The 25,633-nt window shown below is 38.8% G+C and overlaps 1 protein-coding gene across 41 annotated transcripts in view, besides 1 other annotated feature; it reads left to right on the top strand.

The window, feature by feature from the left end:
• Positions 1 to 25,633, top strand: part of DYM (dymeclin) — a 424,259-nt gene that overhangs the window by 200,139 nt on the left and 198,487 nt on the right. For 40 of the 41 annotated variants that reach the window (NM_001374439.1, XM_047437559.1, XM_047437553.1 and 37 more), the window contains 2 exons: positions 2,014 to 2,127; positions 3,403 to 3,497. In NM_001374439.1, the coding sequence (NP_001361368.1) occupies positions 2,014 to 2,127; positions 3,403 to 3,497 (209 nt within the window). Of the gene's footprint in view, positions 1 to 2,013; positions 2,128 to 3,402; positions 3,498 to 11,272; positions 12,183 to 25,633 lie in introns of those variants that run through there. The other variant, XM_006722492.5, reaches the window with a different exon arrangement.
• Positions 9,379 to 9,558: an enhancer, noted in NCBI's record as "active region_13308". NCBI's record gives its function as "activates an Ori minimal core promoter by ATAC-STARR-seq in GM12878 lymphoblastoid cells {active_cell/tissue: GM12878}" and the evidence as "EXISTENCE:reporter gene assay evidence [ECO:0000049][PMID:35858748]".

Below are 25,633 nucleotides of genomic sequence, written 5' to 3'. Positions count from 1 at the left end.
TGTTCTGTTTTTCTTCTAGTTTATTTCTTCTGGAATTTTTAAGTGGCTATGACGTCTGCACTTTTCTCTTATAGTTTCTGTGGAGAACTTCTCAGTTTGGTCCTTCACATCACAAATTTAATTTTCCATAGTGCTCACTCTGCTACGCCCAGGCTGGAGTGCAGTGGCAACATCTCGTTTCACTACAACCTTCGCCTCCTGGCTTCAAGCGATTCTCATGCCTCTGCCTCCAGAGTAGCTGGGACTATATAGGCGTACACTACTACACCCGGCTAATTTTTTGTATTCTTAGAGAGTCATCATTGGGCCAGGCTGGTCTTGAACTCCTGGCCTTGGACTCCCAAAGTGCTGGGAATACAGACATCAGCCACTGTGCCCAGCTGCCATGATACTTTTATAATCTTAAGCGACTTTGCTTTTGTTCTGTGATTTTCCCTTTTCATAGCAGTCTCTTCTTATTTTATGGATGCAATATTCTGTCAAATCTCACTAGATATACTAATCAGAATTTTTTTAAAAAATTCCAGCTTCCTAAATCCTCTCTCTTTAATTAGAGGTCTGTTTGCTCTCCCTGTTCAGTTTCACAGTTTATTATTTATTTATTTACTTTATAAAGTTTTTATTATGAACACTATGAAACTTAAACATAATTGGAGAAAATAGTAGCATGGATCTTCATGTAGTCGTTATTAACACTGTGCTGTTCTTATTTCATCTACCCACTTTACCCTCAGCACCTTTTACGTTTTGATTTCTATTTTTTAAAACAAATCTTCCGTATAATTTCATGTGTAAACATTTTAGTGTGTTCTTTCAGTGAGTATGGACTTTAAAAAATATATCATACCATTAGTACATTCAATAAAATCAACAATAATGTTTAAATTCTTCCTAACAATTTATTATTTCCAGTTATCTTTAAAATATCTTCTAGAGTTGATTTGTTTGAATCAGATTCCAACGTCTACTGCATTTAGTTCTTAAGACTCACAAATCTATAGCACTCTCTCCCTATCCCAGCTTATTTTACCCCTTATTTGTTGAAGAAACTGGGTTATCTGTTTAGTAGGATTCCCCGAATTTGTCTTTAGCTGATTATGTATCATCACGGTATTTAACGTGTTCTGTCCTCTGTATTTCATGTGCACTGGTAATTAGAAGAGAGTCTTGATTTGGTTCAGCATTATCACTTTCTTAGGTTGAATGTCTTCACTTGGTGGTTTTGTTATTCATCTGTAGTTATAAACACAAGTCTAACTAACTTGTTTTGCAAGGTGGTGGGTTCCCCCCTCTGCATTTGTGAGTGGTGGGGAGTCTGCTGTACTCTGTGGATGTGTGCCTCTTCTTAAGAGAGAGGGCAAGAATCAGCCCAGCAGTCTCTTCCTTTTTCATGCATAGGTAGAGAATAATGTGGCACAGTGACTCTCCTTGAGTCACGGAGAAAGGTTGCAGGAGTAACCTTAACGAAAGAGAACATTAGGGAGTTCTAGTGCTCGGCTGAGCCTGTTGGTTTGTTTTTTTTTTTGTTTTTTCCCCCATTTTACCTCTTTCTTTGGGGCAGCCCAGATTTGGCTGCTATGCTGCCCAGTATTCGCACCTGTCTGCCGGCCTGCCTGCCTATCTCTCTCTCTCTCTCTCTCTCTCTCTCTCTCTCTCTCTCTCTCTCTGTGTGTGTGTGTGTCTCTGTGTGTGTGTGTGTGTGTGTGTGTGTGTGTGTGTGTGTGTCTATGATCCCTAGGTTACAAATCTACAGTGGAAATGTCTTAACTTAGAAAACAGTTCTTGCTTACTTAGGCCCGGAGGTGTGCGCCAGAGCTGCCTACTCTCCACAGCCATGGCAGAGCACTGGAGCATCTCTCCTTGAAGATCTGGACTCATTTGCGTGGCCTCTGTCTGTGCTGCTTAACTCACCTTCAGAGCAAAGTCATCGTTTATCAAAAATTGTGGACATGGAGTAATTCTTTTGTCTGTAAAGCAATCATTTTTTACTTAAACTTTTCTTCCCCATTACAGATACTAAAAAATATTACTTGGTATTCAGAACGAGTTTTAACTGAAATCTCCTTGGGGAGTCTCCTGATCCTGGTGGTAATAAGAACCATTCAATACAACATGACTAGGACACGAGTAAGTATTCCAGCTGCTATTCTATCTTTTTTGCATACAGTACAATTAAGACGATAGTTTAAAGCAATCCCAATTTTTAGGATGCTAAAATTCTCGTGACATATGGTAGAAAATACCGGTCACTGTATAGTCACTGTATTACATGATCCTAATGTAACATAAGGTCTTAATATTTAATGGCTTGTATGATTGGAGATATTTTACATGAAATAGAAAACAAGCAATGCAAAACATTTAGATAAAAGCTATTGTATGTCTTTATTTGGCCAGTAACACTGATTTGCCTTTTTTAATAGCAGCAAATAACAAAGTACAAGAGGATATGAGCACAAGAAAATATGAATTAAAATGAAAAAGAAAGGTAGAAGAGAGAATATTTTAAAGAGTAAAAGAAAAATTTCTGCTGGATTCTCTTCACAGTACCTGGGAGCAAATTTCAGTTCTGGTTAATAGAAATGTATTATTAAAGAGAAGCAGTGTACAGAATTCATAGCTAAGAGAAATGGCATTTTTTTTTTTTTGAGCTACGATTGTGCCACTGCCCTTCAGCCTAGGCTGCACAGGAGTGCAGTGGCACAATCATAGCTCACTGTAACCTCCAACCCCTGGGCTTAAGTGATCCTCTTGCCTCAGTCTCCTGAGCAGCTAGGACCACAGGCATGTGCCACTACACCTGACTAATTTTTTTTTTTTTTTAAATAGCCAAAGTCTCGCTATGTTGCCCAGGCTGGTCTTGAATTGGTTTTGAACTCTTGTCCTGAAGTGATCCTCCCACTTTGGCCTCCCAAAGTGTTGGGATTACAGGCGTGAGCCCCTACTCCCAGCCCATTTTCAGTTATTTTCCTCCGTGGGGCTATTGCAGATACACATTCATGTTTTTTATCTGAAACCCTAGGAGCCAGCTATGTTTTAGAAAGCAGAAGTTTTTGGATTTTAGAAAGATAATTATAGTTTATATACTCTACTATGTGTAACCATTAGGGCCTTAAGTAGCATGCTGTAATTAAACGTTATATTTCTGTAGCAAAATATTTCAATATTCACCATGGAGGGAATAATGAAGACTGTCAGGAACATCATCATTTTTTGTGTTGTGGAAAAAACTTTGAATTTTCAGTGCTTTATGGATTTAGGAATTAGAAAAAAGAGATAGTGGATCTGAACTTTCTAAAATCAGTGACAACTGAGTTTACATTTGCTTCTATTAATAGTTAACCTTGGTTAAAATATAGAGAAGACTTGATTGTATGTTTTACACCCGCTGTTTCCTCACAGGACAAGTACCTTCACACAAATTGTTTGGCAGCTTTAGCAAATATGTCGGCACAGTTTCGTTCTCTCCATCAGTATGCTGCCCAGAGGATCATCAGGTAAATATGAACTTTAAAAGAAATACTGATTTGCCTCTGGCTGAGCTATTAAGATGGATACTATGGTGGTTCCTTTTTAAATGTTACCTGTGAGGACTATCAAATTTTCCTACTTAATTTTTATCACCTTCTTGTTTGGTTGAAAATAGCTCGTTCCATTTTGTTTTCTAACCTAACTTTTTGATCAAAGTTAATTGTATTTACATTCAATCTTTTTATAAAATGTAATTTTAAGTGTAATGTTAGTTTTTTAGAGGAGCAGGTATATTTCTTAGTAATGCAAATTAAATATGAATGTATTTGATGCGCATTTTATAGAGCATCACACTACACTTTTAAGGATTTATCTGTGTGCGTTTTAGAGAATTTTTATAGCAGTTCACCCGTGTATTAGTTTCCTATTGTTGCCATAACAAATTACCAAAAATTAGTGGCTGAAAGCGCAAACTGGTCATTTTAAAATTCTCTAGTTTAGAAGTCCACTGTGGGTCTCACTAGGCTAAAATTGAAACAGAGCTGCATTTCTGTCTGGAGGCTGTAAAGGAGAATCTGTTTCCATGCCTCTTCTAGGTGTTGGAGGCTGCCTGCATTCCTTGGCTCATGGCCCCTTCCTCTGTTATCAAAGCCAGCAACAGTAGATTGTTGAGTCCTTCTCATACCTCATCACTCTGACCTCCTCTTGTGGTTCCCTCTTCCATGTTGAGGACTCTTGTGATTTCCTGGACCCTTCCTGATCCAGGATTATCTTCCATCTCAAAGTCAGAATCATAATCACAAGGTCGCTTTTGCCATGTAAGGTAACATTCATAAGTCCAGGGGATTAGGACATGGACATTTTTGAGGGAGCCATTATTCTGTCTGCCAGAAACCCTTGTCTCTTCCCCACCCATTGCCAAAGACATGACTTTTTTTTTTTTTTTTTTTTTGAGATGGAGTCTCGCTCTGTCACCCAGGATGGAGTGCCGTGGTGCGATCTCAGCTCACTGCAAGCTCCACCTCCTGGGTTCACGTCATTCTCCTGCCTCAGCCTCCCGAGTAGCTGGGACTACAGGTGCCCGCCACCACACCCGGCTAATTTTTTTTTGTATTTTTAGTAGAGATGGGGTTTCACCCTGTAAAGACATGACTTTGAAGGATAGGAAAGCTAACTAACCAGTCATAAGTGAATATCATTGCAGGGCTTTTTAGCATATGGGGGTACTTTTTTGACTTCCTGTAGGATGTTCAGTGTTGTCCAAGTAGGTCTCAAATAGAACCCCAGTGAAGTCATATTGTTTCCTTTAATTCTTACTTTTGGGGCAATGCAGGGTTTCTCTTCTTCTTTTTTTTTTTTTTTTGAGACAGAGTCTCACTCTGTCACCCAGGCTGGAGTGCAGTGGTGTGATCTTGGCTCGCTGCAACCTCCACCTCCTGGGTTCAAGTGATTCTCCTGCCTCAGCCTCCTGGGTAACTGGAATTACAGGCACACGCCACCACGCCTGGCTAATTTTTGTATTTTTAGTAGAGACAGGGTTTCACCATGTTGGTCAGGTTGGTCTCAAACTCCTAACCTCATGATCCGCCCACCTTGCCTCCCAAAGTGCTGGGATTACAGGCATGAGCCACTGCGCCCAGGCTTTTCTTGTTTTTTTAAAGACAGGGTTTCACTCTGTCAACCAGGCTGGAGTGCAGTGGAGCAACCACAGCTCACTGAAAGCTCAAACTCCTGGGCTCAAGGGATCCTCCTGCCTCAGTCTGGGCATGTGGTTTTGACCATTCAGTTTTGTTTAGCAGTCATTGGTGGTGATAACAACTCCGTATCACTTTTAAATGCTGATCTCACATTCTCTTCATTGGTTAGCCATTGATTGACCTGGGCTCATTTTTAACTTACTCAAAATTAAGTTGTCTGTTTATCTTCAGAATTTAGTACAGGATATTTTGCATTGACTCACTATTTAATTTATGTCTGGTCTTAATACATTCTATTAGATTGTTTTTTGGGTTTGTACTTGAGAGATCATCTAGTTGACTGACATTGGAATAATGTGAACTTCACGATTTAAAATAAACATAGCAGTCTCCTCCTACCTTGGAGTTTTTCAGGTATTCTGAAGAGCCTTTAGTTTCCAGGAGTTAACCTTTGTCACCATGCTTTATTTCACCATAACAGAGTTAATGATTTCTGTGCTGCTTTGTAGGCTGTTTTTCTGTTTATGTGCAGTTTTATAATGGTTTCATGAAGATTTCATTACACAATTAACTTTTCTCAAATGATAAATGAACATTTAGCTTGTTTGATATGAAAATGCCAAATTAGCTGGTTGATAATTTAAGTTCTGATAAAATACATTTAGCACGATTAAATGTTTTTGAGATGCAAACAATTTTTTAGTTGGGAAAAATGCATATAAAAACACTGTGTCCAAGTTTTAATCTGTGATGGCAAAAGTAGAAAATAAACCAATCATATTTGAAGAAATAAGAAACATAGTTTAGATTTGTGATTTGAGAGCATTTAGATTGTTTATCATCAATAATGAGTAGTGCTTTACTTCATTTTAATAGATTGTTAGTTAGCATAATATGAATAACGAACTATGTTAAGCAATGCAAGAAGTATCAAAATAAATAATAAAGTTTCCTGACCTCAAGCAGCTTGCATTTCAGTAGCAGGAATAAGACCAGGACCCATCTATGTGTGTATATATATATATATATATATATATATATATATATATATATATATGATACAAGGATCTTTTATACAGCAGAATGTTATATGAAATATATATTATTATATCTTAATATTACAATGAAAGAAAAATTGCTATGGAGGGGGTGAATGGCTGGTTCCAAGAATGGCAAGAAGGCTTCTCATTGAAAGATTAAGCAGGGTGGCTACAGAAAGATGACATGATAGATAAGAGAAACTGGCCTGATACAGCAATCATCAACTACAACAAACCAAAGCAAAACAAGAGAGGGACTATGGTGAGAGAGCATGATTTATATGTAGAAAATAACCAGTTTCATGGAACTGGCATGCTGTGGACCTCTATGGGGATCACAGGTGAGAGGCCTGAAAGAAACAGCTGGGGCTATTACTGTGGAGGGGCTTAAGGGTTGGACTCACAGTTTAGAATAATCGAAAGGAATGGAGAGAAAAGAAGGTCTTTTCTTAATAACAACAAAAAAGAAAGTGTGATTGAATGAGTTTTTAAGTGGATTTTGAAGAAAAGAATTTAAGGTAAATTTCTTGAGTCACCTGTTTGAGCAGATGATAGTATCATGGTCTGTTTGTCGCACTGAGGGAAGTGTAGTTCTACCCAGCTCCCACATGCTGCCAGCACTTTTCTTGTTCAAGGACCACATTTGAGTAGCCGGTGCGGACCAGAGCATCGTGTCATGCAGGAGGGAGCTTGTTGGAAGTGCGGAGTGTAGGTGTGGCTTTTGACCTACTGGATCAGAGTCTTCTTTCTAACAAGATCCCCAGATGATTTGTATCCACATTAAAGTTTAGAAAACACTTTTGAGTTTTGGCCTGGAAATCATTATGTATTTCCTGAGAAAATATTTGTCTTGAGCTGGAAATGGGGGCCAGCTTTTTTGTACTTTGAGGAAACTCATTTCCTACTAAATATTTGTGTTTAGGGTATAGAAATGTAAAGTATGATAAGGGATGCATGACAAAAACTGTTTAGATACCCAGAAGGGTTATTACAGCAGTACAACTCAGAATTCACCAGATGCTCTAGTAACCACTTCAAGTGAGAAGTAAGCAGTTTTCATATACATGATTCCTAAATCCTCTTTTAGAAAGAGACTACACAATTTTATATTTGTCAGTTGCAAAACTTAGAAGAGTCAGTATTTCACATGATCTTCAACAAAATGCAAAACAGATAACATGTTACATTGCTATGAAAGGATGTGGATAAATCTTTGAAAAGCCTCCTTAGCTGGACATAAATGTAAGGAATGATTCCTTACAGTACCTAGGCTGTTGCTCATACTTAATGACCATGTGCCTTCTACAGACTCTTGGTGTTCTAGGAGAATCACAGATCTAATTTGAGTTTTGCTTAACTTTGTAAGTCTTTTGGATATGCCATAAGTGTGCATATTTGCTGCGTTCTTTATTTGGGATTATGAGGTTATTGAATTTCAAGACATTTATAAAGAGTAGATTATATGCAAGGCATTGCTTTAGATTAGAAAGATACCATTTACTTCCAGCCCTTAAGACTGTCCCTTATTGTCTCTCATGTCCCTCCACTGGCTGTTTCCTCTGGCTTCTCCTTCACCCTTTGATTAACAGGTAGTTTTCTCTAGTATCTCATTCTGTCTTGTTTTCTTCTGTCTTTACACATTTTCTCTGGGAGATCACATATATGTCTATGACTTTATCTACTGTCATTTGTATACTGAAAATCACCTGATAATGGTTAGGCTTTGTGTCCCCACCCAAAATCTCATCTTGAATTGTAATCCTCATAATCCCCACATGTGAAGGGAGAGAACAGGTGGAAGTAATTAAATCATGGGGGCAGTTTCCCTCATGCTGTTCTCATTCATGATAGTGAGTCTCAAAAGACCTGATGGTTTTACAAGGGGCTCTTCTCCCTTGGCTGTGCCACTCTTCTCCCTGCCACTTTGTGAAGAAGGTGCCGTGCTTCTCCTTCACCTTCCACCATGATGTAAGTTTCCCGAGGCCTCCCCAGCTGTGCTGGACTGTGAGTCAATGAAACCTCTTAACTTTATAAATTACCCAGTCTCAGGCAGTTCTTTTTTTTTTTTTTTTTTTTTTTTTTGAGGCAAGTCTCACTCTGTTGGCCAGGCTGGAGTGCAGTGGCACAATCTCAGCTTACTGCAACCTCCACCTCCCAGGTTCAAGCAACTCTCCTGCCTCAGCCTCCCAAGTAGCTGGGATTACAGGTAGGTGCATGCCACCATGCCTGGCTAATTTTTGTATTTTTACTAGAGATGGGGTTTCAACATGTTGGCAAAGCTGGTCTTGAACTCCTGGCCTCAAGTGATCTGCCCACCTTAGCCTCCCAAAGTGCTGGGATTACAGGTGTGAGCCACTGTGCAAGCCTCGGGCAGTTCTTTATAGCAGCGTGAGAACTGACTATAACACCACCCAAATCTAAATTCATAATCTAGATCTTTCTCCTTCACTGTACTGGCAGACAGTACAATGTAGAGGATAAGCACATAGCCTCTGAAGCCAGACTGCCAGGGTTTGAGATCTCAGCTCCAGAACTTTACTACCTATGGAATCTTGGTGATGATGTTCTTTACCTTCTCTATGCAGCAGTTTCCCATCTGTAAGACGGGAGCGGCAGCAGCTGCTATCTCAAAGGATTATGGTGAGGATGAAGTGCGTTGACATTTGTAACGGCCTCGCACATAATTTGCCCTGAGTAAGCATTAGCTGGCTGAGCACCAACCCCACTAGGTTCACCACCTGGGTATCTCATGCTTACTTCAGACTTTCATTATGTTTAAAACTGAACTCGTTTTCAAACCTACTCTTCCTTTTAAATCCCCTGTCCTAGGTAATGGCCCTCACCACAGTCACCTAAATTGCCAAGCCAGTTCTGTAACTTTTCTCCCTTTCTCTCAAATTCTATCTTACTGGACCCTGAAGTTGTACCTAACTGCCATTGTAATTTGCATGTATATGCTCTTCTCTTTCTCCATGGCTGCTGTCTTGGTTCACATGTGTGTCGTCTTCACCCACACTATGCCAGTAGTCTGACTGGGTCTTTTTGCCTCCCTACTCACCCCTGCACACTGCTGTATTCACTGGAAAAGCAAATCTCATTGCTTCTTTTGCTTAAAAATATTAAATGGCTTCCTATTGCTATCAGGTTAAAAATCTGACCTGTGCTCTTCACTGTGATTTTGCCCCCCAGGGGACATTTGACAATACGTGGAGATTTTATTGTTATTGCCAGAAGTGGGAAAGAGGTTGCTACTGACATCTAGTGGGTAGAGGCCAGAGATGTTGCTAAACATTCTACAATGCACACTACAGACCCCACAAGAAAGCATTACCCAACGCAGAATGGCAGTAGTGTCAAGGCTGAGGATCCCTTTCTTAAAGTGACATAGTCTGGGCCCTGCCCTTTGCCCTTCGTCTTCAATTGCCATTTGCCATATACCCACTGCTTCTGCTTTACTGAATCATTACAGTTCCTTGCTCTTTCACAGCTATATCGCTGAATCTAGATAAATGTGGTCTGGAACTAGAAAAAAGTTGAGGCAGTTCTTTGTGTCACCTCTTTTTTTCTGTAGGTTTTTCTTTTTCAACCAGCTTCCCACCCCTTTATTCCATGTCTTTTATCTTGAACCTGCAGTGGCTTCTTCAACTTGCTGAGGTCTCCCCAGTTCAGCTCCTAGGCCTTTTGTTTGGACCAAGCTGCTGCTAACATAGTTGTTTCATATTCCCCATTCTTCAGATTACAAAGAGAAAGAACCCATTTGGCCCTCTTCATCTCTTCGTAGCAGCCCATGGATCACTGTCAGTTTCTGGCCTAGGGGCTAGTTACTGGGGCTAGAACAGGAAGGAAAGACCCAGGAAAGGAGAAAGCTACATGTTAGAAGATCTGGATATGGTTACCTGGCTTCTTTCAGAAGTAGGTGTGGGAAAGATAGAACTTCCAAGTCTTACCTGTCCAGTGTAGGTACTTACAACATACTGGCCTGGCCTGGAGTTGCAAGTCCTGTTGCTTAAGCAGAGTAATAATTACTGGAGATAAAAGACTTATTTTATATTTCTTTGCATTACTTTACAGAGAGTTGCTCTCTCTAGGCACACAATAGACTTTTAATAAATAGTTAGTGACTGATTCTTAGAAGATGGGCTGGCATCTGGAATTTAAACTTAGTTCTGGCACCCACTATTCTGAGACTTCATGCAAGTTGATTAGCATCTGGCTATATTTTGCAGATGTCTGCTGCCGCTTGAAACTAGTGAAGTTGATGATCTGGTGTCCATAAGATGCTTTAGACAGTGCCAGACTCTATTGAAAGCTTTCTGGGTTTTCACACCTCTTGAGAATAAAGTAATACAAAGTATAGATTAGGTTTTAATTAAAACAATTTTATGAGAGCAATACAGTTATTTCTGATAAAATTTAATCATGCAATTTAAGAACTTTAAAATTCTCAAATCCATGACTTATGCTTTCACTTTTTCTCACAGCCATCAGGAGTGAGTATATACACTTCAGATTTTAAGTGTATGGTTGTGCAACTTCCGTGTAGTAGTCTCAAGCTGGCATTTTATATGAGTTGCCTTTTCCTGCCCTGCACTCATGATGACACATATTTTAATCACCCAGCATTTTTTTGAAGACTACAAAACAGAAGTTGGTTGTTGAACTACGTGGTCAGCTCCTCTATTTTGGGCAAATAAGATCTTTTAGACCATTCAGGCTCATGGAATTAAAGAAAGAAAGACAATTTGCCCCCAGCCTTCATTTAAATAATTCTTTAATAGTAACTTACCCCAACAGGCTTCCTCACTTCTGTTCCCACTGAATTAAGTTTTCATGGGTTTTTTTCTCAAACATGAAAGGGAATATTAATAAGCAAATTGACCTATTTGTTGGGATGAATTTATATTACACACACACACATGCACAATTCAAATATGTAATAACATAATATATGATTATGATAATTTTAGAAATATTGCCTTATTTTTTAAAAAGTCCATTTAATGATAAATTTATACCTGCCATCCTCAGTGTCTCACCACTTATCTCTCTTGTGTTACATTTAAGGCTAGTTGAAGTCTGGAGGTTTAGACAGTCGAGGGTATTGACTCTTCACAGCTGGTAAGTGGCTATCCCAGGTTTGTCCAGATCAAAAGCCTGGCTCACTCCAAGAATGGCAGAATACTCTTTCTGAGAGTGACTCGCTCACCATGGGACCATGGATCCAAACTCCTGGGATTGATCTGGAACAGACAGTTCTCTACAATCTAAGGTAGCCGTGCCCTTGGTGGTCATTCAGTTTGCTTTCCCCTAGCCCTGATTCCACCTGCCTCCCAATCTATCTAAGTACCTAAAGTTATAGTAGCAAAGACAGGAAGGTCTTTTCCACTTTTTTAGAACTGACATGTTTGAGACAGGTATGGATGTGTTCAGGTATTACAATACATGGTATGTGGAAATTATCCTGGAAAAGAGTGATAAGAACTGTGTGTCTTTTAGCCTGAGACAATAATATTTTTTATATCTAATCCTTGATATTAAACTTTATTTTTAATTTAATACTTATGAATGCCTACCACTGCTGAAGTCCTCTTTAAGATATGTTTTTATTGCAGACGAATGCCATTTGTTGTATCTAGAAATTAAGTGTTATAGTTGGTTTTTTTTTTTAAACTTCGATTTTATTTCAACCTCATATTATTGTTAGCACTGTAGTCAGGAAATTATTTCTTTAGGGAAGGAATTATCTGATGGTAAGAATTGTAATGAATGGTTCAGTTCTGTTTCCAAAACCTTGCTGAGTTATTTAACTTATTTTTCATCTCTTGAATGAGATATCATACCTACTTCATTTGAGTGGTGTAAGAGTTAATGATGGCTTGTAAAGTCTTGCATCTCTATTTTCTCTATTATAGTATTATAACATTTTTGAGATATTTTGAATCTAAAAATAAATCTGGATAACATCTCTACAAAAGAATGTATTGGTCTCTGCTAATATTGCAAGATTCTGATTCCCTGCCCAATGGATTTTTGAATTGCCTATATTCCCCAAATATTTTTCTAACAAAGAAAATGAAGATCTCACTGAACATAGATAGAAGTTTTTAATAATTGTTTTATTGTAGATTGGTAGGAGATCTGAGCAATGGCTTGCAGTATAAATACTTCTCTTAAATGTATATGATTTCATTTTTTAAAAGATAGAATTAGCTTGCTCTTGCCCAATGCCCAGGCAATAAAAAGGTTCCAGTTTCTTCATTCCTTTGGTCTTTGCTGATCCTTGTTTGATCTTGGCATAGCAGTAACCAGGAAAGGAAGGAGGAATGTTTGTCTTGAAAATCTGGCTTCCTGTATTTCCTACAGCCAGTGGTACTTTGAAGGCAGCTAAGTTTTTCAGGGAAATCTGGCTTGGTTTGCTTTTTTAGTTTAGTCCTTTCTTAAGGAGTTACATTGAGAACATTTAGACAGCTCCTCTCTGAAAATTTATAAGTTTCCAGTAGAAAATGGTTACCTATTCAAAAAATTGCTAGTATTGTACAACAGGGTGTCTTGGCAGACTTGATGGGACACAAGAAAACTTCATAATTGGTTTAATTTCAGTTTAGACTGCTGGCACATTCAAAATGTCAGCTTTAAAGAAACATGTCATATGTTTATCAGATTGTTTATTTCTTATAAGTAAAGACCTTTGTGGACAAAATTGCCACACAGCAAATTAAACTTTAAAATAACTTCCATAGAGCTTTATTGAATGTCACCATCATGTTACAGAGGTAACTTGGTGTGGTTCAACTTTGTCCTCTTAGCCATGAATTATTAAGCCTCCATTCCTGTTTATTTTTATGAAGGTTGTAAGATTTTTACCTACTTTCAAGCTAACAAGTTTACCTGCTACAGTTTTGTAGATTCTGGTAGGACACCCAAGACTCCTGGGTCAAGGACAAAGGACAGTTTGTTATTGTCCTTTTTTTATATTTTTTATCATAAATTATTACTCGCAGCAGTAGTAGGAGCCAGAATATTCATTTCTTGTGTGGTTCCCATACCCACAGGGCAACATGACAAGGGCCAGGTGACACCTGTAAGTGCAGTGGGTTGCAATACAGGAGCGGAACCCAGAGCTTGGGAATCCCCAGTCTTTTATGATAGCCTTCAAGCACACCTGCCCAACCTTTGCTTTGAAGGGAGACATCTTTAATGTATTTGATAGTAAACTACTCTCTGCTCTAGAGAGAGACACCATCTCTGTCTTCCAAGTCTGTTCACTCTACAAGCATCCACGCAGAGATAGCCCGGAGCACAAGGCTGCTAATGCCTCTGCTTTTAAGATGTGCAAAACATGAGAGAGTGGGGAATTGTCTCCCAACACTCCTTACCTAGTTATGAATTTCTGTTGCCATTGGAAAAACCTGTCACTGTTTCAGTAAGGTAGCCAGTTGATACTGCTCTAGGTTTTATCTCTCAGTTGCTAATGCATTGTATTTAAATATCTTAGAAGAAGCAAAGGATGGAATGGCCTCATTCCTCTTTGCTTTGTACATGTGTCATAATGAACCTCCAACTCAGATGTCAGTGTCATTAACTCCACCTCTAAAGCCTTATTTACAAGTCATAAAATTATAGACTTAGAAGGACCTTTAAAGATCATCTAAGGCAAATTTCCACATTTTACATATGGGAATATTAAAATCTCGAGTTATGTGACCAGTCCAAGTGAACACTGTTGCAGAAGCAGACAAAAAACCAAGTCATCTAGGTTCATAGCCTAGTATTTTTCCCAGAACAGAGAGAAAAGAGGCACGCTTTCTCTCTGTCTTTTACAAAATTGTGATATTTGATATGTTATAAAATGCTAAGGCCAGATAAGAAAAATAGAGTGACTTAATAAAGCATTTTCCTTCTTGATGAATTGCATGTGTTTCATGGACTTTTAAAAAGTACCTTTTCCAAGACAAAGAAACAGTGTTGTGTTAACAGGAGAAATGGGAATAAACAAAGGTAAAAAGATTTAAAGTGGCTCACGTGTCCAATGTAAATACATACTGAATCAGATGTTGCAGAGATAGGACAAACAAGGGAAGAGAGAATGCTTCCTTAGGAGAGACAAGGATAGTTTGGAAAAGCTAGCTTTAAAAAGGTAGGTAGATAACTCCCTATCACAAGTATTGTGAGTTTTCCGAGCATTTACAATTTGTTCATTTGTTCAATGTCCTTCAGTTTCCTCCTTTACAAACTGGGACTACTGTCCTAGGGCCACTGTGAAGACTAAATGAGTTAATACATTTAAAGTGCTTAGAATGGCATCTGCTGAATAGCAGTCACCTATCGGGGGAACCAGCCCCCAATATTTCAATGTAGGTTCTTTTCTATTTTTCCTAAGTGTCGGCTGGTCTGAGAAATAAAGAGAAAGAGCACAAAGAGAAGAATTTTACAGCTGGGCCGCCGGGGTTGACATCACATATCGGCAGGTTCTGTGATACCCACCTGAGCTGCAAAACCAGCAAGTTTTTATTAGGGATTCTAAAAGGGGAGGGGGTGTACGAACAGGGAGTAAGTCACAAAGATCACATGCTTCAAAGGGCAATAAAAGATCACAAGGCAAAGGCAAAATTAGAATTACTGATGAGGGTCTGTGTCCCACTGTGCACACATTGTCTTGATAAACATCTTAACAGGAAATAGGGTTCGAGAGCAGAGAACCAGTCTGATTAGAATTTACCAGGCTGGAATTTCCCAATGCTAGTAAGCCTGAGGGTACTGCAGGAAACCAGGGCGTATTTCAGTCCTTATCTCAACGGCATAAGACAGACATTCCCAGAGTGGCCATCTATATACCTACCCCCAGGAATGCATTCCTTCCCCAGGGTTGTTCCTTGCTGGGAAAAGAATTCAGCAATATTTCTCCTACTCGCTTTCTGCAAGAAGAAAAATATGGCTCTATTCTGCCTGACCCCACAGGCAGTCAGACCTTATGGTTATCTTTCCTTGTTCCCTGAAAATCGCTGTTATTCTGTTCTTTTTCAGGGTGCACTGATTTCATACTGTTCAAATACATGTTTTACAAACATTTTGTACAGTTAACACAATCATCACAGAATCCCGAAGTGACATACATCCTCAGCTTACGAAGATGACAGGATTAAGAGATTAAAGTAAGACAGGCATAAGAAATTATAAAAGTATTGATTGGGGAAGTGATAAATGTCCATGAAATCTTCACAATTTATGTTCAGAGACTGCAGTAAAGACAGGCATAAGAAATTATAAAAGTATTAATTTGGGGAAGTAATAAATGTCCATGAAATCTTCACAATTTATGTTCTTCTGCTATGGCTTCAGCCAGTCCCTCTGTTCCGGGTCCCTGATTTCCCGCAACAGTTACCCAGTAATTATCAAAGGAAAAAGATCTTCCTTGTTAGAGGGCTCACAGCACCATGTCTTGTTCTTGATGGTGCAGTAGGTATTTGAATGAATGATGAAATTCTGATACTTGAATTGAGCTAAAACAAATGGTTAAAATCTACTGGCTCTATAGGTAAGGAGGAACCAGTGTGCCTATAGACTACCTTGTTTTTGGGTTTTTTTCTTCTTCTTCTTCTGTGAAGCTGGTATCCGTCACACACATACTGGATCCTATGCAATCGGTTATTTGTGTTATCCAATAATATGAGTATTATTTATATTTTATAATGAAGAAACTAAATGTCAGAGAAGTAGCTTGTCTATGGACAGTGACAACATTGGTATTTAAACCTACACCTGTGCTCTGTCTACAACACCTTCCTTTGCCAGTGCTTCTTATAAGTGAAGTTTTAAATTAAAAACAAGTAATTTGTGTACTTGGTCGTTTAATATAACACTTTACTTAGGGGCAGTTGTTGCCAGTCTTTCTAAACATGTGATCCCCCTGTTGACATGTTTTTAAAAACTCATTGACTATCTTTCAGTAGTTACTGACTGAAAAGATTTGAGGGTGAATAGTGGGGGTCCCAGACACCCTGTGACAGATGGTCTAAGCAGCTTTTCCCAATCGGAGTTCATGAGAAAATCAAGTCCAGCGGAGAACCAGTTAAGTGAGGATTTCCTCAGTTCTCCCAAGGAGATAGTCATACGTAGCAAATACCCTCTAAATGAGTAGGAGAGAAGTTAGTTGATGACAAAACTTTTGCCTTCTTAGGAATCCTGGTTTAAAAGATCTGTGAGGACTTCGGGGTTTGAGGTCCACTGGTTAAGAAAAATTACTATAGGAACTCAATGTGACACTCCTCCTGTTAATGACTTTTTTAAAAAAAAATCTAAAATGTGCCTGCTTTCTTCATTAGTCAAACATGAAGATTATATTGAAGCGTAAGAGTATTTGTCTATTCTTTACTGAATAAACTTTCATGGACCCATTAGTCCTGGAAATTCAGAAGTATATACAACTCTGTCATAACTTACTGCCTGATATCGACATAATAATGGTATCTGAGTACATAAGCCAATCAGAGACCTTCATAGCATTATGAACTTCCAATTTAGGATCACTCAGTATTAAATGAATCACTGAGATTCTAAGTATGTTCTCTGAGAAACTAAAGAGACTGGTTCTAGCAATGATTTTTTTTTTCTTTTTTCTTTTTTTTTTTTTTTGAGACAGAGCCTTGCTTTGTCACCCAGACTGGAATGCAGTGGCATGATCTCTCAGCTCACTGCAACCTCCACCTCCCAGGTTCAAGCAGTTCTCATGCCTCAGCTTCACAAGTAGCTGGGATTGCAGGCACATACCACCACACCTTGATAACTTTTGCATTTTTAGTAGAGACAGGGATTTACAATGTTGGCCAGGCTGGTCTCGAACTCCTGGCCTCAAGTGATCCACCATCCTTGGCCTCCCAAAGTGCTCATATTACAAGCGTGAGCCACCACGCCCAGCCCTAACAATGATTTCTTCGTGGAGTATTTTAAACAAGAGTAGGTATTTAGGGGACATATAATCATTTATCAGATATTTTCTGTGTGGCTACCATGTGTCAGACATCTCCAGGCATTGGCAATTCACACCATAGACTCATGCTGTCTTCAGAGAGCTTATTGTCTAGCAGGCTCTGTGTTTTACTGTGATGAAAGTGGGACCCAGGAGAAGGCAGCCCGCTCACCTGAGTGTCACGGAAGCCTTACCAGTGAGATGATTGATGCTTGAGTTATATCTGGGAAGAGGAGCAGGTCTCCTCTTTTAAAGTAGCGAGGAGGCAGCTCTTTTCTCTGTCCATCTGGCTCTTGGCCGTTCCCTAAGCTTCCTTTAGAAACCCTAGGTATAGGCCGGGTGCGGTGGCTCACGCCTGTAATCCCAGCACTTTGGGAGGCCGAGACGGGTGGATCACGAGGTCAGGAGATCGAGACCATCCTGGCTAATACGGTGAAACCCCGTCTCTACTAAAAATACAAAAAAATTAGCCGGGCGTGGTGGCGGGCGCCTGTAGTCCCAGCTACTCGGGAGGCTGAGGCAGGAGAATGGCGTGAACCCCAGAGGCGGAGCTTGCAGTGAGCCAAGATGGCGCCACTGCACTCCAGCCTGAGCAACTGAGCTAGACTCCGTCTCAAAAAACAAAAACAAACAAACAAAAATAACGCTAGTTATAACTTGACGTTTTTGGGTGTACTTCCCTTTCAGTGACCTACAGAAGACGCAAAACTTCCTTCATCGAACTTGACTCCCACAAGGTGATGAAAATAAACCATGTATTAAAATACAACCCATCTAGAGGCTGTGTGTCAAGCTGACCTTCATCCAATTTTAATTTGTTTTCTTACTCAGGAAACTTTATTTTTCAATGTATATTACAGTTATAAGATGGTTGAAATACTCAGATTACTTTATGCATTTTTATTGTTATTATTATTTTTTGAGACGGAGTCTTACTCTGTCACACAGGCTGGAGTGTAGTGGCACTTCCCACTCAGTGCAACCTCCGCCTCCCAGTTTCAAGCGATCTTCATGCCTCAGCCTCCCAAGTAGCTGGGACTACAGGCACACACCACCATGCTCAGCTAATTTTTTTGTATTTTTAGTAGAGATGGGGTTTCGCCATGTTGGCCAGGCTGGTCTCAAATTCCTGACTTCAGGTGATCTGCCTGCTTCGGCCTCCCAAAGTGCTGGGATTACACCCGTGAGCCACTGCACCCAGCCCAGATTACTTTAAATTAGATCAGCAGTTCTCAGCCACAGTGGAATGGTGGGGTGGGGTGAGAGCAAGTGGAGTGTAACTCCAGGCAGCCTGTCTGACTCATCTTTGCAGAAAGACGCCTGAAGAACATGTGTGGTGCATGTTGTAGTGCTGGGAAAATGGTTGATAACTCGCAGCGTAGAAGGTGACTTATCGTAGAAACTGAATTTGTACATTATTAACTTAACGACAGTCGAAGCATAATTATTATAGAAGCCTCAAATGAGTGATCAGCTTTTTCCTTTTTAATTTGAAAAATTCGAAATATGTTTGAAGAGAATTATATAATGAAACTTTAGATTGTCAGCCCCTACCTTCGGCAGATATCAGTTCTTGACAAACTATTTCATTTATTTCCCCTCCTTTTTCTCCCTACCCTGGATTATTTGGAAGCAATTCCTGACATCATTTCATCTATCAGAATTGCATTATGTAAAGAGGTACATTTTTATGAATATCCATTTATTATTTGGTCCCTCTACAAGTGGTGGAGAGAAAAATAAAATCAGGTTACCACCATCTTCCAAAACATGGAAATTAGCCATAGTTTTGGTCCTTAGTCATTTAGAATCTGATTGAGTTCGGGGCTTACTCTATCACTCATATTGCTAGTCAGTGTTATATGGATGCTGTCTTATTTAATTATAAGTCTAGCCATCTATAAGGTACAGAATTTCTGTTTAATAGGTGAGGAAACTGAGACTCAGACTGAAACTTAGCCAAGGTCATGTAGCTAATAGTGTGGAGCTGAAATTGAAATCCAAGTTTGACCCTAGCGTAGAAATGTTCTTTTTGGCAGACCTGACATTGATAAAGCTGAAAAGGATAGGCAGACATCATCTACCTTATACCTGCACTCAGATTCTCAGTTGTGAGTGAGTAGAATGTCCACTATATAAAGTTTCTGTGCAGTCTTGGATCACTTCTGTGCATTGATTCTCGAAGTGTGTTCTGTGGGCCACAGAGAGTCCATGGAGTCTAAGCCTTTTATAATAAGACATCATTTGCCATTTCCACTGTGCTGACATTTGCATCAAGGGTACAATAGCAAAGTTGGGGTAAAACTGCTGAGACCTTAGCATAAATCAAGTGGTGCCTAACTGTACTAGTACTCACTATATTTTCCACAACCACACACACATTTGTGGTAAAATAAAAACCATCTTCACTGAAAAATGTCCTTGGCGAAATAGTAAAAATGATTAGTTGTTATAAATCTTGACCCTTGAGTACATCTTTTTGATATTTTCTGTTGTAAAACTAGAAGCTCACATAATGCACTTCTACTCCATACTGGGTTCCAATGATTGTCTTGAGGAAAAGCAGGTGTGTGATAGAGTTGTGAGCTGAACTAGCCACTTTTCTGATGGAATAGCATTTTTACACGAAAGAACATGAGACAGTCTTGGCAGAGAGGAAACTGCCAGTGTTGGTTGCCAATAAAAAAAATTTTCAAGTCAAAATTAAAATTTCGAAAAACTTATATTTGGCATCATGAGTTTGACAACTTCCTAATAATTTAGACTTTTGTTATAACATCAATGATGTTAGTAAATATGGATTTTAAAAACTATTATTTGATGAAATGTGTCAACATTTGGAAGATCTGCATAATTCAGTGAACCAATATCTCTCAAATGACTAAAGGGGCTTTTTCATTAACTGTATTAATGTTAACATGTAATGTGTTTATTATTAAATTTAAATGAATTAGTAAATATTTAATATTTTCTCAGTTTTAATATCTGTCAGTATAACTGACATATGAAAAAATTCTTTGGGGTTCTCATTAATATTTTTAAGAGTTGAAAGGGGCCCTGAGAAAAGTATAAGAACCAGCACTCTAATGCCCTTTCAGGATGAGATAGGTAGAGTGGATGTGAGCATGTCTGTATTACAGAGTTCAGTGTATATACTTTTAAATATCTACTATTTCTGAATTATACCTTCCTTCCATCAGTATAATCAATATTTAACTATATTTGTATTATTCATGCTTCCATTTAATAAATATTTATTGAGAACATAGTTATCAGAGGTTGAAAGAGAAGGGGTATACAGAATATATAAATCATGTTTATTCTCTGTAAGAGCTCATGGTCTCTATTCTAAAAAGTCATAAAAAAACAATGTTACTGTACTAAATTGCCTTTTAAGTTTATTGCTTATCTTGCCTGGGTGTGGTTATGAAATAAATTTGTTGCTGTTGTCTATTTCTGTGTAACAAACTACCCCAAAACTTAGTGGCTTAAAACAACAATTTGTAATGACCTCCACAGGGCTTTGGGTTGATTGCTTAGCTAACTGATTCTCTACTTGTGGTCTCTTGTTTGCCATCGTAGAGCAGCTGGGCTGGGTGTCCAGTGTGCTCCCATCTCAAGGCTGGCAGTTGATGCTAGCTGGGAGATCTGTTGAGGTGTTGCCTGGAACACCTCAGTTCTTCTTCTTGTGACCTTGCTATGAAGCTTGGCCTCCTCACCGCAACGCAGGCAGGTTCCCAAGAGGGGACATCCCAAGAGTGGCAGAAACTATAAGGTTTCTTATGGCCTAGCTCAGCTATCCCTGAATGTTACATTTTATTGGTCAAAAGCAGGTCACGAGACCAGCCCAGATTCAAGAGGAAAGAACCACAGAAGGGCATAAGTGCTGGGAGATGTGGTTCATTTGTGGCCATCTTTGGATGCTAGCTGCCACAAGACTGCTAGGAGACTGTTGAATTAAGTTTTATAAATTATTGCTTATTGTAGCTGGGAAAATGAATACTTTCATTCTTAAGATCAATATCCAGGCTTCTGTTCAAAATAGAAAATTTAAGCTGAATCCATTCAAATGCTATTCTTTGCATTTTTTTCCTTTAATTTACATTTGACATTAACATTCTCTCCCTGACTTTTTCCCATAGTTTCTTCTGATGAGCAGGAAATGTCCACTATCTAGTACAGGTGTCTTCACTTATAGTCAAAATGGAAGAGGAGCAAGTGCACAGAGTTCCTGTAAGATGCATGTTCATGTGGCTGCACTTGCTGGCCACTGAGTTGTTGATATTGACCAAATCTTGTCTTTAGTCTGAGAAAATGTAGGGCTGTGTTATCTTGTGGCAGTGTGGCAGGCTGGATGTTCACTCTGACAATAACAGCTCAAGTTCTATACAAGAGAGGCTGAGGGGCAGCATTTGGAGGGTGGAGTTTGAGGGTTGTTTGCAAGTGCCATTTAAACAGCATTCACAGTGTCTCCAATTTGATTATGTATTCACAGTGGCTTGGAAATCTGGCTGGAGGAGTGTTTCTTTTTTTTTTTTTTTGAGACGGAGTCTTACTCTGTCACCCAGGCTGGAGTGCAATGGCATGGTCTCAGCTCACTGCAACCTCTGCCTCCTGGGTTCAAGCGATTCAGCTGGAGGAAATTTGATAGGGAGATGCTTTAGCTAAAGCTCCCCCTTGGTGGTGCTGTTGCACTATAACTTCCAAAGAAAACATCTTTTTTGTTGCTCATTTTTTTAAGCAAACATTTTATTGGACACTAAGGTGCACCAGGCTCTGTGCTAGGCTTAGGGGAACTAATACAACAGTTAATATCCTTATAGTCTAATCCTGGCTATTAACTTTCTTAACATCAAGAGTGAAGAAATAATATTATTATATACTATTATATTAAATAATAATATTAATACATAGCTAATTAATTCAAGCCAGATCCATTGCTGCATGTAGACACTATGGAGGCAGTAACCAATTTGCCTAAAGATGATGCATTCACAAATTTCACAATTTTAAAGGTTACTTAAAAGGGTATCACATAGCTCTTAAATATAGCTTAAAATGCACAGTTTAAGTCTAATAAGAAAATTGCAGTTTAAAACTTCACTGACATGCTATTTCTTACCTATCAGATTAGAAAAATCCATTTTCCAGGTTATGTGGAAACAGACCGTCTCAAAATTTTCTGGTTGAAGTGTAAATTGGTACAACTCCTATGAAGAATGTGGTAATATCCATCCAAATTTCAAATAACATCACCCTTTGACCCAGCAATCCTACGTGCATTTGTGCAAAATGACAATGTACTAGTTTATTTTGGGAGTATTTTTTATAATAGCAAAAGATTAGGAACAACTCAAATATCCACCAACAGAGACCTACTTAAATATGGTACATTGATCTAGTAGTGTGCAGCTGTAAAAAAAAAAAAAGAGTAAGGTACTGATGGAAGGCTCTTTCAGATATATTACGTGAAAAATACAAGATATGAAATAATACATGTAGTATGTGATTAGTGCAGGGGAAAATAATATTTGTTTGCATTTATCTTTGTTTACATGCAGAAACTCTGGAAGGACACACAAGAAACTGATAAAAGTGGTTATGGGGTGGGAGGAGAGCTAGCCTTTTCACTGTGTATGTTTTTCCTCTCATCTCTTACCATGTAAGCACCAAAGGGGCAGTGATCTTTATTTTTTTCACTAATGGTATCCTTATAACAATACATGGCACATAAATATTTTTAGAATAAATGATTCAAAAATAACTCAAAGAACAAAAGTAACATAAGCTGATTACAAAAAATAGAGACAAACTTGAAGCCAACTGTTAATATAATGTCTGCTTCCAAGTAATCCTTAAATTGATGTCTTGTTGTATAACACTCTAGATGATTTTCTACTTGCGTATATGCAATTTAAAAAAAAAGTTTTATAGGCATTTTCCATAATATAATCTATGTTGAAAGATATATGGCCTCAAAATATCATTGAATTTATCCAGTGAATATTGCTAATGCCATATATTACGACATTTAAGTTGTTTATATAAATGCATGTCTAGACACATACAAACAGCTCTGGAAAGAAAATATTCACTCATGCATCAGAGACAGTGTATGACAGTGTGAACACTGGAATGGGAGACCCACCTCCATTTCTTGCCAGCCGTGTGATCTTGGGAAGTTACCTAACCTTTCAGTGTGTACAGTCCTTTAGTACTTGTCCCATAAAGTGATTGATTCCCGGGTTCCAAGCAGGAGACCCTTATGGATAATTTGCTTAATAAAATTGAGCATGAAGATACCTGGATAAGCAACTGCAGGAGAGTTTCTCTCTTCAAGAGGGTAGGGCTAGGTGAACTGCTCCCAGATCTGATGTGTGTCTTGAGCTTCGTTAAGCAACAAGGAAAAAGACTGAAAGTCTAGCAGGAGCAAGTTCAAGATGAGGGACCACTGATTCCTTGGTTCACCTTGCTAAGTTATATTTGCAAAGAGCAGATGGTTTGGACTAATCTGACTCTCGCGTGCATGTTGTTTTCATCCTCTACCTCAGAGGCTGGGAGTTCTGCAGGCCCGGCTCCTACGGAGTGGCCTTTTGGGAGCAAGTTCACATTTTCCTATTTACTTACGTTGTTATTTTTAAAAGACTTTGTTTTCATTTCCCATTGTTAATTGGCTCTTGGAATTTACCCCTGCCTATTTCCCTTCCTGAATCTTGCCATTTATAAAGCAATTTCTTCTTTCCATATATTAGTTTTCCTAAAGTGGGGTATATTTGATCAAATTCAAATAGTTCTGAAGTACCAGTAACATGACTGAGAATGGCTATTTATTTATTTATTTATTTTTTTTTTTGAGACAGAGTCTCGCTCTGTCGCCCAGGCTGGAGTGCATTGGCACGATCTCAGCTCACTGCAAGCTCCGCCTCCTGGGTTCACACCGTTCTCCTGCCTCAGCCTCTCGAGTAGCTAGGACTACAGGCGCCTGCCACCACACCCTGCTAATTTTTTGTATTTTTAATAGAGACAGGGTTTCACCGTGTTAGCCAGGATGGTCTCAATCTCCTGATCTGGTGATCCGCCCATCTCAGCCTCTCAAGGTGCTGGGATTACAGGTGTGAGCCACTGTGCCTGGCCTATTTACATATTTTTTAAAAATTTGTAAATGGGCATTTCGCAGGCCATTCTCATATAAGAGGGAGAATTGGAAGTCCTTTGAAATATGTTTTTTAAAAAGGTTTTAATTTTTAAGTTATCCAAAGTGACACCTGTAATGTGAATAGGACATTCCAGAACAAAAAAGTTGAAACAAAATTATCAGTGTTTTATACAAATTTTGTACTCCTTGTGTAGCTAGAAATCAAACGTTTCATATTAAAATGAGAATTGAATTAGTTTAAACAAGTTTTGTTTGCAGAAGTCTCTGATTCCTTATGAAGAGGAAAAGAATATGAAAATTTTATAGTATTATGTTTTTATATTGCACTTACAAAATTGAGTGAATATTGTGTGATGATCGAAAGATTTTAGGCATTTTTTCAAGCCACAGTTTTTTTTTTTCTTTCACAGTGATATATGGTACTTACTGGAAATTTTACTTTTATTTCCTACCATATCATTTGCACCTGTTTTGCTGGTGTGTGTTGATTGGTCTTATTCTATCTCGTAAGTAATTACTGACCCTGACTGGTCTAGACACTGACTGGTAGCAGTGTAATGTCAGGCCACTTAAAAAAGGACTTTCTTAAAATTGGGCCACAGACTAAATGTTATTAAGTTTGAAGTATCACACCATATCTTTGTTGCAACTAAGAAAGTGAAAATAGGCCTTATTAAAGTCTGTTTAACTTATATCATTACATCTATTTTTAAATTTTTTTCACAACTTGAATAGTATTTCACTTTAGCTTCTGTTATTCTTTAGCTTTTGATCATGATATTGCTATGTGTTGAAAGGATTTCATCAGGTGTATCAGTCAGATTTAGGTTCAACTGTGAATAAGAGAAAAACCTAAAATCTGAGTATCTTAAAGAAGAAATAATTTCCTCTATCTCCAGGTAAAGTCCAGAGCAGTCCTTCTGAGACTGATAAGGAGGCTCTGCTCCAGAAAGTCTGTATTAGCTTCCATTTGCTGCTGTAACAAGTTACTGCAAACTTAACTGCTTAATCAACACAGATTTGTTATCCCACAATTCTGTAGATCAGAAATCTGACTTGGCTCTGCTGGTTTCTCTGTTCCAGGTTTCACAAGGTTGAAATCAAGTTGTAGGCCTGCTGGGTTCATATTGGGAGGCTCTGGGAAGAATCTACCACTAGGCTCATTAAGGTTGTTGGCAGAATCTAGTTCCTTGTGATTGTAGAACTGAGTTCCCCCTTGCCTTCCTGAGGGCTGCTTAGCTCCTGGAAACCTCTCTCTGGTCCTTACATGTGGGCCCCTGCATCTAACTGGCACATCAAATGA

This window comes from Homo sapiens, chromosome 18 (assembly GCF_000001405.40).
Source record: "Homo sapiens chromosome 18, GRCh38.p14 Primary Assembly".
Lineage (NCBI taxonomy): Eukaryota > Metazoa > Chordata > Mammalia > Primates > Hominidae > Homo > Homo sapiens.
The sequence above is the reverse complement of the archived record's forward strand: the minus strand, read 5'-3'. Positions and strand labels throughout refer to the sequence as shown.